The 12,783-nt window shown below is 44.9% G+C and overlaps 1 protein-coding gene across 2 annotated transcripts in view; it reads left to right on the top strand.

Annotated features, from left to right (window-relative positions):
• Nucleotides 1-11,488, top strand: part of SPMIP7 (sperm microtubule inner protein 7) — a 63,374-nt gene extending 51,886 nt beyond the window's left edge. For both annotated transcript variants that reach the window (NM_001161834.3, XM_011515052.2), the window contains 2 exons: nucleotides 3,682-3,789; nucleotides 11,278-11,488. In NM_001161834.3, the coding sequence (NP_001155306.3) occupies nucleotides 3,682-3,789; nucleotides 11,278-11,401 (232 nt within the window). In that variant the 3' untranslated portion in view covers nucleotides 11,402-11,488. The remainder of the gene's footprint in view (nucleotides 1-3,681; nucleotides 3,790-11,277) is intronic.
• The last annotated feature ends 1,295 nt before the right edge of the window (nucleotides 11,489-12,783 follow it).

A 12,783-nucleotide genomic window follows, 5' to 3' on the forward strand; every position in this document is an offset into this window, starting at 1 on the left:
GGGCAATAATATATTCAAATTTATCAATTAGTGAACAAAATCCTGGCTTATTTGGAACTAGGGAGTACAAAATAAGGTATTTAAAGGACTAGAAGCTGTGGAGCAAAGGCAAAAATGAAGACTTCTTATTTTTAAGTGGGTCTCTGCGTCTCTCTACTTTCCTCAAATGGGGAGTGGAATTCTTTGAACATGCGACTAACCTGGAAATCCATTTCCCGGCTTGTATGTTTCAGTATCTTTAATAGCTTTGTTCCCTCCAGCTGAAAAATAATATCTCCTATCAGCAGCAGTCTAAAGTGTTCCCCAGAGAGTATTCTCCTCTTAATATAAGGTCGCTGTGTTGCACTTAAGATGGCAAAATTCCCCTTGTTATGGCCATATGTGCCAGGGTTAAATGGAGTAGATTTAGAAGCAGTGTGGGTGAGGACTTTCGTTTTCAAATATTTGGCAATTTATTATGCAACTGAATTCATTCCCAAGACTGAGCAGCTAATCAGTCTAATCTTCCATGAAATGTTATTATTAAATATGATGTAATCTAATAGCATTAAGACAATGTAACATATGATACCATTTAGCATCAATAACATGCATGCCACAGAGGCACAGAGGCTGTGCAATGTTTTTTATCAAGCCTTTCATGTGATTGACAGATGGCCTGCGTCCATCCCTCTGACTTCTTAACTGCTCTGATGGCAGGATATGACTTTAGAGGCATTTTAATTCTGCAGGTGTTTTCAAAGGCAGTGGAAAAAACCTTTCACACAGATGGAGGGGATTTCCTTTGTAACATGCATGGAAGCTTTAATGAATGGTTGGGGGAGAGACACACGCATGAATAACTTTGCCTCATTCTGGGTTACCTCTCTAACTTACAGCTGCACTTTTCCAACAAAATTCCAAAAAATCCTGCAGGGCACTGCCTAGAATTCAGCAGCTTCAGTTCACTCACCTAGGTCCCTCCAGCAAGCTTGACAATGTGGCTGTAAAACAGAGGCTCCTGAACTTAGCAGCACAGGAGAATCATCTGGAGAGCTGTCAAAAGTCCCAGTGCTCAGGCTACACCACTTACTAGTTACATTAAAATATGGGGCTGGGCCGGGCACGGTGGCTCACGTCTGTAATCCCAGCACTTTGGGAGGCCGAGGCGGGTGGATCACAAGGTCAGGAGTTCAAGACCAGCCTGACCAACAGGGTGAAACCCCGACTCTACTAAAAATACAAAAGTTAGCTGGGCATGGTGGTGCACACCTGTAATAGCAGCTACTCAGGAGGCTGAGGCAGGAGAACCACTTGAACCCAGGAGGTGGAAGTTGCAGTGAGCCGAGATTGTGCCACTGTACTCCAGCCTGGGCAATACAGCGAGATTCCATCTAAAAAAAAAAAAAATGTGGGAGTGGGAGCCAGGCATTGGTACCTTTCAAGATGCCTCTGAGATGTCAGTGTGCAGCACCATTGGGAACCTCTGTCTTAGCATCTTTTCAGCTGTCTGTACTGGATAAACTTTGCAATCCCCATGTGCATGGCCCTTATTTTGTAAATGTTTTATTTCTTTAAATTACTGTATTTCAACTGAAATTAGTTTAGCATCTATTAAGTGCTAACAATTTGCTAGCTGTTTTCATATTCATTGAAGTCTCCTCTAATCCCCAGAGTGCCCCTAAGAGGTTAGTGTTGTCCTCTTCATGCTGCAGTTGACCGAGCTGAAGCCCAGAGAGCTTTCTTCACTGGAGTAAAACCTCACAGTTGGTTAAGGGGCAGAGTCAGGCTTGCCACAGAAGCCTGCTTCTCGATGCAGTGGGCTGCCCCCACTCTTTAGCTGCCTTATTTTCCTAGTCTCACAAAATCTGTTATTTTGTACTGTTTATTCTGCTGTTGCCATAGATGTAATTTCCCTTCACTTTGTTAGTCTCTGGGTGTCCTTGATTATATCACCTGCAAGCCAATAAGTCATCACCAACAGAGTCATAAATTACACAGCTGGAAGAGAATTAGGAGATTTATTAGTGCAATTCCCTGCCTGATATGTATTTTCCCCCTAACATTCTGATACTTGCACATAATCAATGTGGGAAGGACACCAAGAAATTGCAGTGTGAATCCTTCTCGTTTCCACTTCTCCCTCACCCAAGTCCTTCCGGTTGGTATCACTACCCGGGGTCAGGCTGAGGCTAGAAGGCTCCAAAAGACTATGTCCAGTCCAGATCCCAGAGATGACATGGGGAACCGGGGACTGAATCTTCCTCCCAACCCTTAAGCACACACCCCTTTCACTAACCTCTCTTCTGCCTGCCTTGTCACCTGATACTTTCAGGAGCAACTCCTATAAGCTCCAAATTTTGAAAATTACTCCTAAGATAAGTGGTTCCTGGAGAAGGCTTTGTGTGGCTTACTGGTCGTGTGGGAAGGTCATGGATATAACCAAGGCAGCCATTGAAGAACCATTCCTCCACCACCCACAGAGGTTTGCTTGTTGCTACTGTGTTGCATTTTGTCTGGGCACCAATTTTGAATAGGGAACCATGCCACAAGGATGTCCTGCTCTCAGAGAAAGGTCCAAGGATGGCAAGTGAAAGCCACTGAGATGAATGAAATTTGCAATCTGCCCACTGGCCCTTTCCTCCCTGGGGGCAAGTTCATGATGGTGGCCTTTCTTATTCCTCCCTGAGGCCAGCACAGTAAGCTGAGGCCATGGCGTTGATACGACTCTGCAAAGATGGTAGGCTATTACACAGAGCCTCATGATCTGTAAATGTTGTGTTCTTGGACTTTGAAATACAATTTAAATCTTATTTTCCTCAACTCCTTGCAGCACACAGGATGGAGCTTCATGCTGGGCCTGTCCCATAAGCCTTACCCACCTCCTAGGAAATAATCTGTGTAAACCAACTTGTGTGCTATCATGGCAAGAATATTCATTATTCTTCACATTCCTTCCTCTGAACTACCTACTTAAGCCTTTCTCTTGAATGCTCGTTTGCCTTTTCTGGAGAGAGAGAGCTTTTATACACACTGAAGAACGGCTTCTTCACTCTTGTGTTTTCCTTTTATCTCCCACTGTCCCTGGTGGAGAAAAGAACAGGGAAGCAGAAGAGTCAGTGGAATTCAAACTAAACTGTTTAAATTCAAATTCTAAACAGACTGTTGTAGAATTAATGCTGGTGTACGTTTGTTTCCAATGGGCAATTTTAGGAAATCATCTGAAATTTACAATGCAGTACATTAATGGTGATAAGAAAGATATCTGATAAAAGTAACAATGCTATAAATGTAAGAGTGTATATTCATTAATATTAGAGTCTGCATTACAGAAATATGTGTGGGATACAGGTCTGCCACTCTGTCAAGACCTGGTATCTTCCTTCATTATGAAACAGAGCTCAGCAGTGAGTCATGTTTGTAAAAGACATGGAAATTTAAAATAGCAGAAAAACATGAACTTGAAATAAATTTTATCGACCCCAGCATAGGGCTGTTATCTAAGTACCTGTGCATCAGCACGCCCCAGGCCTGCACTGTTTCCTTTTTGGACAGCCCAAGTTCCACACCTCATACAGGAAAAAAAAAATTAGACTGCATATTTCTTTATATTTTTCATATTTGGGTGCTAGTTACCATGACAATTTCACAAATCATCATTTTAATTTCCTCTTTTCCTCCTCTCTTAACTCTTCACTTTAGTGCTGCAAATATTCCAGGATATACCGGCAAGGTTCATTTCACAGCCACCCACCCAGCAAATTCTAATATTCCATCAACAACCCCATCACCAGATTCAGAACTGCACCGGTAAGTATGAATCCTATTACTCAATTTGCTCAGATACATTAGGAGGGGAAATCCTAATTGTGGTTATTCCATTAAAGAACAATTAAATAGTAAAAGCAAATTTACATTGTTTTTAAAAATGTGGCATCAAGTCCGAAACAGAAAAAAAGATAATTTTCCATTTTCCTACTGAGGGGAACTTTATTAAGCCTTGTATGTGTTTCCTTTTTGAATCTTACCCAAAATTACACTGAAAACCAGGTTTAGATTAATGTTATTACGAATGTGGCCAAAAGGGGCATATGAAGGTATTTCAGGCGCATTAGAGGAATGGCATCTTTACTTCTTAGACTCACAGCTGTGCACACACATCACCCTTCTGCATGATCATCAGAAGACACATGGAACATACATCAGATACATAGTTACTTCTTGTGAACAGCCACCTTACTTTTATAAAAGAAAAAATTCTGTTGAAAGTCACATATATTTTTAAACCCACATTTTGCAAATTGAAAGCAGGAGATGTGGCCAGGCATGGTGGCTCATGCCTGTAATCCCAGCACTTTGGGAGGCTGAGGTGGGCAGATCACTTGAGGTCAGGAGTTCGAGACTAGCCTGACTAACATTGTGAAACCTTGTCTCTACTAAAAATACAAAAATTAGCCAGTGTGGTGGTGGGCACCTGTAATCCCAGCTATTTGGGAGGCTGAGGCAGGAGAATCACTTGAACCTGGGAGGTGGCGGTTGCTGTGAAATGAGAGTGCCACTGCACTTCAGACTGGGCAACAGAGTGAGACTCCATCTAAAAAAAAAATCCCAGAAAACAGGAAATGTTAGATGCAAGGTTACTGAAGATTCCTTTATTTGAAGCTACTAGTGAGAAGGAGCACATGGTTACTCATTTATTATAACTCAAATTTGAAAGCACCTGATGGAATTCCTGGCATTGCAAACGGTTTTGAAAATGCAAACACAGTCTGAACGATGTCTAGTTGTTGGCCCAGTGCAGATGAATATGCTAGCACAGTAGGAAGGCAGACTAGAGGGACGGCAGTTCGCCCCCAAAAGGAGAGCTTGTTCTAGATCACATTCTTTTGGTAGAGGATTCATTCGTTTATCACACATTTTATTTATTTATTTATTTATTTATTTATTTATTTATTTATTTAAGACAGAGTACTCTGTCACTCAGGCTGGAGTGCAGTGGTGCGATCTCAGCTCACTGCAACCTCTTTCTCCTGGGTTCAAGAGATTCTCATGTCTCAGCCTCCTGAGTAGCTGGAATTACAGCCGTGCACTATCACGCCCAGCTAATTTTTGTATTTTTGGTAGAGACAGGGTTTCCCCATGTTGGCCAGGCTGGTCTCAAACTCCTGACCTCAAGTGATGCTCCCGCCTTGGCCTCCCAAACTGCTGGGATTACAGGCATGAGCCACCGTGCCTGGCCTTATCAAACATTTATTGAGCATCAATTCTGGGCCAGGCACTGTTCAAGACACTGAAGATACAGGGATGAACAGACAAGGTCCCAGCTTTTAGGAGCTTATTTTCTGGTACGAAAGATAGACAGTAAAGAAGCACACAAGTAACTGAAGAAATGAAATAATAATCTTAGCTAGTGAAATGAAAAAGAAAGACTGATGTAGGAGAGAGTTCCTCAGAAGGGGCTTATTGAGCTTTGTGGTCAGGGAGAGCTTTCTGAAAAGGTGACTGTCAGGCCATGGGTACCAAGCCAGAGCTCCTGCTCTGATCAGCTTCTTAAAACTTTCAGAAAGGCAATGGCTATAAATGGGAACAGCTGCCATGCATGGGCCTCTTGGGCTGTGGTTTCTGGTCCACCCAGCTGCTAATCCTTTTATTCACTCACCCATTTGCTGGTGGATTCACATGATCTTTTACTAAGTCAATGCATGTTTACTGTGCTCCAATAAATCACAAGAACTGCTTGCAAGGAGCTCACCATCTCTCAATGAGAAATAAACAATTGCAGCAGAGGATGACAAAAAATGTCTTAACACTAATAATCACTTCTGTTGGCTGAGTGCTTTGTGGGTACTAACTCATGTCACGGTCCCAGGAACCCTGTGAGGAAGGGAATGTTACTATCACCATTTTACAGATAAGGAAACTGAGGCACACACAAGCTGCCTGGGGCTCTGGGAGGGGGCACTAGAGAAGACTTCACAGAGGAGTGGCTCAGGCAGTGACTTGAAGGAGTGGGGCTTGGTCCCACGTAATTGAGGGCAGCAAGCATTCCTCATGGCACAGTAAAGGCACCCTAGGGGGTGGCTCTCAGGCCCCGACTAGCCTGTTGTAGGCCACTGCATACAGACAATTCTAAGCATCCCACAAGCCCTGTGTGCCTGGCCTTTTCTAAGGTGCCTGCCAATAGGAGGCTTTATCAACACGTCTCACTTTCTGGATTGGTAATTTTCTAGCATCTCTCCAGGCCATTTGATGAGAAACATTTTAAAAGGAGGTCAATGGCTTTCTAGGCTGATAACTTGCATTTGTTTTTTTCTCAAGACACATTTTTTTCCCAGTCTCAATATTTGCATGTATTTAAAAAATAAATTCTGTTGTGTATATCATCCTAACAACATGATATTATGATGACATATGGGTATATAGTAAAATGGTTACTATAGTGAACACATTAATATCCGTCATCGCCATAGTTACCCATTTTCCCCTTCCCCCTGTGGTCAGAGCAGCTATAATCTACTCAGTTAGCAAAAATCCTGAATACGATGCACTATGACGCCCTGTAGTCCTCATGATGGATCTTATGTCTCAGGCTTGTTTCTCCTGCGTGTCTGCTACTTAGCATCCTTTGACCTACATCTCCCGTTGCCTCACCCCCCACCGAATCCCTCATAACCACTGTTCTATTCACTATCTCTGTGTATTTCACCTTTTATTTCTTTGTTAGATTCCACATGTAAGTGAGATAGTGCAACATGTTTCTTTCTGTGTCTATTAGCAAAATGACTTCCAGGTCCATCTGTGTTGTGCAAATGGCAGGATCTCCTACTTTTTAAGGCTGAATAATATTCCATTTTCTTTATCCATTCATCTATCAACAGACATCGAGGTTGTGTCCATATCTTGGCTATTGTGAATATGATGCAATGAACACAGGAATGCAGATATCTTTATGAGGTGGTAATTTCATTTCCTTTGAGTGTATCTCCAGAGAAGGAATACGTTATTTTTATGTTTAATTTCTTTAGGAAACTCCATACTGTTTTCCATAATGGCTTCACCAACCTACATTCCCATCAACAGTCTATCATTTCTCTACATGCTCATCAACACTTATTATCTCTTGTCTTTTTAATGGCAGCCATTCTAATTGGTGTGAGGTGATATCTCACTGTGGTTTGTATTTCCCCGATGAGCAATGTTAAGCATTCTTTCATACACCAGATCACCATTTTTGTTGTCTTTGGGGACATGCCTGTTCAGGTCCTTTGCCCATTTTTTAAATTGGGTTATATGTTTTCTTGCTATTGAGTTGTATGAGTTCTTTATAAATTTTGGATATTAACCCCTTATCAAATATATGGTTCCCAAATATTTTCCCCCAGTCTGTAGGCTGCCTTTTCATCTTGCTGATTGTTTCCCTCGCTGCACAGAAGTATTTTAGTTTGACATAGTCATATTTACTTATTTTTGTTTTTGTAACCTAAGTTTTGGGTGTGATACACAAGAAACCATTGCCAAGGCCAATGTCAAGACACATTTTGAAATGTTATAAATCCATTTCCAAAGGCAAAGCTGGTAGACATTTAGACAAGTAATATATATTTACTTCATGTGAGGGACATAAAACAATGTCAAAATTAAATACATCCTTGTACTGATCATTTAGACTCACTGTCCAAAGAGAGTGGGATGAAACCTTGTGGCTGGTTCATGATTTAGGAGGGATCCGATGCAGAGATTCTTTGTCAGTGCAGCTATAAACAATGCTAATCCCTTTTCTTTTTTGTGCACAATCCATCTTCTCACCCCCAAATCTCAGACCCCACCCTGATTTCTGATTGCTCTAACATATCTACACAACACATAATCAAGCCATCCAATGTGTGATAAAACGTTCCTATTATCTTTCAGATAAATCCTATTTCTAAATGAAAAACTGTCCCCTACTGTTACTCCCAGAGAATATAACTTGTATCTTTCAGCCAGACTTTCACATCCAGATTCAGGCCCATAGCTGACTCTTGGGGGTCCTCGCAATCCCTCTCAATACACACATACTACACACATGGCTGTCATCCATGGCCCTCACTATACACACATACTGCACATACAGCTCTCATCCATGGCCTGAGTGGGACCCATCGCCCTCTGAGGTAGCTTCTCTGGGATTCTTATTCTCAGGGTGCAGATAACTCTCTAGAAAAAGTGACACTAACCAAAGTGTCACCCACAACTAAGTGATGGCTCGTGCTGGGCCCAGATGTCAAGGCCTGCACCTCTGCCTTCTCCCCTAACAGCAGCTCCTGGCAAGCGGTGGTGTTCTGGCATGAAAAAGCATGGTGCGGAGGGGCAGGAGGGAATTTAAACGTGTAAAAACTCACTGTGCTTTCATAAGGACTGTGCCCTCTAGCAGGAAGGCCTGGCCCTTATGATCAGAAAATTGGGCCTTCCAGGCTCTTCACATCAAAAAGTATCACTCTGATTGTATCTAGCACTATAATTTATTTTTCTAAAATTTTCCAGTGAAAGTATGAGCCTTGATCTCTCTCTGATGAGTGTCATGAGAACATAGTGAGCTAACTTCCTCCTGACTGTTTCTGCTTGATCTGATGCATTTTTTCCTGTTATTTCTAAGAAGTCATCTTCACACGGGCATCCCCTGGGAACTCCTGAATATTAGCCGCTACTGTACTCTCACTGCTTCTCTGCAATAGGTTCCTCACTTATTAAGAGCTAATGCCATTCCTGTGGTGGCTGTCTTCAAACCTCCCTGTGCCACACGAGCTTCCAGTCACTTCCCCACGCCCCTCTCAGCTGGTCTTGCCTCCTGCTTGCTGGGGCACCCAAGGTGACCCCTTCATTTTCCCTGCTAGTGTCCCCTCCTCCTCTCCATATCCCAGGCTCTATTTCCATCACTGCTGTCTCCCTTTTCCCCCAGGAAGACACACTCTTACTTTTCTAAAATATTGATCATTATTTCTGAGCTCTGAGTCCTGTGGTCCCATCAGTCCTGCTTCCTCCCTTCTGCCCCGCAGTGCTGGCCTCTCCCAGCTGGCCAGTTGTTTATGAAGAACCCCAGCGGAGTCTCCCTGTGGCTTCCCTGTGAGCTGCCACCCTGTTCTCCCCTCTCGTTCCTTTCACTTCTAAACTTCTTGAAAAAGCAAACAGCTAATCTCCCGTGCCTCCTGCCTTCACTTCCTTCCTGCCCACTCTCTCCTGAACCTGAACCTCCTGGCTCTGGATTCTGACACCAGCAGTCAAGTGACATGCTCCTGCCTGCCAGGCTGTACACTGGAAGGGGGACAAGAGAGAGGCCATTGGATCCGCTTGATGCAGAGGCAAGGAACAGTGCATTTGGCTGGATCTCTGTAATCGAGAAAACTGCACTGGTGGTTTGGAGGTTTTAAGTTGTTTGAGCCTCAAATGTTGATGCCAAGGGGTCCATGGCCATATACTCCCACACCATATTTGGAGCAAAGTGCACAGGGACCCCACAGTGCCTCAGGATGAACATTGGGATGGAATGCAAACTGAGAGGAAGGGACAGTTCAAAGAGATTTGAAGTGAGTAGATGGGATGTGTTAGAGGTGGAGAAGAAGGGATGTGACCTGTCTCCAAAGTCGTGAGCAAGGGGAATACAGGCGCAAGTGTTTTTCTAGCTCCCATTTCCACCGCAGTCCAGTGTTTCTTGCCCACACCCTCCCACCAGAATGTAACCTTCACAGAAACTTGCCTTCCCACCTCTGCAGCCATTTCTCACAACATATAATATACATATGTGTATCTGTGTGTATTTATATAAAGCAAAATAAAATATTAGTTCAAGGTGATCATAGCATAAAACAAAGCCATTTTAGATGTGGTCACTATATAGAGGGTTAATTTTAATTATTTTTAATTTTTTAATTTCCCATACCAGCATTGTAACTCGCTGCTAATACAAGCACTGCATTGTGTGTGTAATTCAGATAGCAACAAATTCACAGCAAAATTATTTCAGGCCACGGGCTTGTGGGGTTGCTCATAATAGCTGGCCCAACTCCTGTGACACTAGGATAGCCATCTCCAGGCAGAATAGGGAGTTTGGGAATGCCAGTAACCCAAGGGGATAAAACTTCACTTGCAAAGCATTCCACATTTTCAAAGCTTTTTTAAAAAAAATTATTTTAATTATCACACCAAACTTGATAGGGCAAATTTATTCCTACTGGGTATACAAGCAAAGTAAAATGAAGCCCAGTCATGAGCCTCCTGTGGGAACAGTCAACTTAAATACACTGGCAGAGCCAGTAAAACCCTGTACACCCGGCCTTGTTCACCCTCCCCCAGCAGCCTCTGGGGTAGGCCCAGGCCCCTCCCGCCCATGTCTTTTCCTGGCCTCTGGCCTATGGCCCATGGGTGAGGCCCAGGACCCCCACCCATGTCTTCTCCCAGCCCCTAGGTGAGGCCCAGGACCCTTCCACCCATGTCTTCTCCTAGCCTCTGGGTGAAGCCTGGATCCCTCCCACCCCCCATGTCTTTTCCTAGCCTCTGGGTGACCCAGCCATGTCTTCTTCTGGCCTCTGGGTGAGGCCTGGGTCCCTGCCACCCATGTCTTCTCCCAACCTCTGGATGTGGCCCAGGTCCCCCAACCCATGTCTTCTCCAGGTCTCTGGGTGACCCACCCATGTCTTCTCTTTGCCTCTGGGTGAGGCCCGGGCCCCTCCCACCGATGTCTTCTTCTGGCCTCTGAGTGACCCAGCCATGTCTTCTGCTGGCCTCTGGGTGAGGCCCAGGCCCACCCCACCCATGTCTCCTCTTGGCCGCTGGGTGAGGCCCGGGTTCCCCCTATCCATGTCACCCATGTCTTCTCCAGGCCTCTGGGTGACCCAGGTATGTCTTCTACTACCCTCTGGGTGAGGTCTGCCTGTCCCATGTCTTGTCCTGGCTTCCCTGGGCCTTATCTGTCCGCCCCTCACTCCTCCTTGGAGGAGACTCCTCTTGATTCCCCCGGCCACCCCACCCAGAGAGCTCTCCCCAGCGTGCCCTGGGCCCTCCCCAGGCACGGTGCGGTGGGGTTCCTTGGGCGGCTTTCTGCAGATCACCCCCATCCCTAGCACCCACCATAATTCTCTGCGCAGCACAGAGGTGCAATCCCTGCAGCTGAGTGCTCCCCAGCACGAGTCATCCTCGCTCCCTGCCTGCAGTGCGCGCTCCCCTCCCCTTCCCGCACAGGGGTATCATTAGTTGGATGAGGTTGTGTATTTGTACATGTCTTTTATGTCTCATTTTCCTCCTTTTTTTCCCATCCTGCCCCAGCGTCTTCCAGAAAGAAATGGCAGTTGACCTCTTCCGTCACCAGGCTCCCCTGTCTCGACTGGTCACAACTGTGAGACCCTACAACCCTTTCAACAAGAAGGACAAAGAAACCATAGACTACTAGAGGAGGCGGCCCTGCGCGGGCTGTCCAGGCCTCCGCCTGGGGAAGGCTTGTGCGGCGGTGGGAAATAAAGGCTGCTTCTCCGCGCTGCGCAGTGTGGTGGGTTCGGTGCTGTTCTCCGCTGGCCTGCGCGTCCCTGCCCAGCCCGCCTCTCTCCCCCGGCAGGCGGCGCTCAGCTGGACACTGGGCGCCCGCCAGCCGCGGCGCAGACTCCCAAGCCGCCGGCAGCAGGGTAGCAGGGCCTGTGTTGCAGAAGATTCCTCTTTAGGGTTGGAATATTGGGTCTACCTAGAGGTTTCACATGGCACCACTTCAGTGCAGGGATTCTAGAGCAGAGAGCAGACCATAGATTTTAGAATCTCAAAGGCAGTCTAGTCAAAAATCCGTATGCTGTCAGTGGGAACCCTGAGCTACTGAGAAAGTGCGTTCTTCTTTTCTAGCAGGGGACATCACACAAGGGGACAACATCTACCCTCTCTTGGCCTGCTCCAGTGTTTCCTTCAGAGAGAAGTGTTCCCCAGTCCCCATGAGGGTCCTGAAGTCTAAGTCAGGACCACTTTGGGTTAGAGTGTGGCCTGACCCGGCCTTGACCAAAGAGAGCACCAGCTCGCAGAATCTCTCAGGGGTGCATGTGGGCTGAGGGGGAGCCCTCTGGCCTTCGGAATATACACATAAAGTACATTTATATAGTATTTGCATGCACATATACACATACACAGAGCCTATTGGAGTTTACAAAGTGCTTTTGTAAACCTTAGCTCATTTGATCCTGCAACCTTGTAATAAATTCTTATAGCAGGCATTTTACAAATATCTTGCAATTTATGAATTAAATAGACTAAGGCCAGGAGAAGTGAAGTATTTAAGGTCACGCAACTAATAATTAGTAGAGTTATAACTAGAATCCAGGTTTTCTAAATTTAGATATTATACCTCTCCTACCCTTCCATTTTTTCAGCAAATTGGATAACCTTCAATGAATTATAAAAACAAAACAAATAGAAACTGAAAAAAAAAACCCTCCCTGTGTTTCTAGACTTTTCTGAAGTGTCTCAGGGTTTTTATCTGACTTCTAAGAAATTAAGATCAAGATAGTTATACCTCAGAACTCCAAGTAAATGTGTAAATTCTTTTGGGGGTAGTTTGTTCTTGATTTTCCCACAGAAAGGGGGAAGTCAGCTATCTTTGTGATGGAATCATGTATTGCCTCAATGGACAACAACACATGCTTCGATGGTGAGTGTTTTACCAGGATGAAAGAGGAAGGGCAACAGCCATCCATCCTGAGGGCGGACGTGCCTGCGTGCAAAAGGAATGGTTCCCCCTGAACCCAATCTTGTAGTTTCATTATTTTTAGAAAGAGTAAATTGGAAAAAAAATAGACC

Source organism: Homo sapiens, chromosome 7 (assembly GCF_000001405.40).
Source record: "Homo sapiens chromosome 7, GRCh38.p14 Primary Assembly".
NCBI classification, from domain to species: Eukaryota; Metazoa; Chordata; class Mammalia; order Primates; family Hominidae; genus Homo; species Homo sapiens.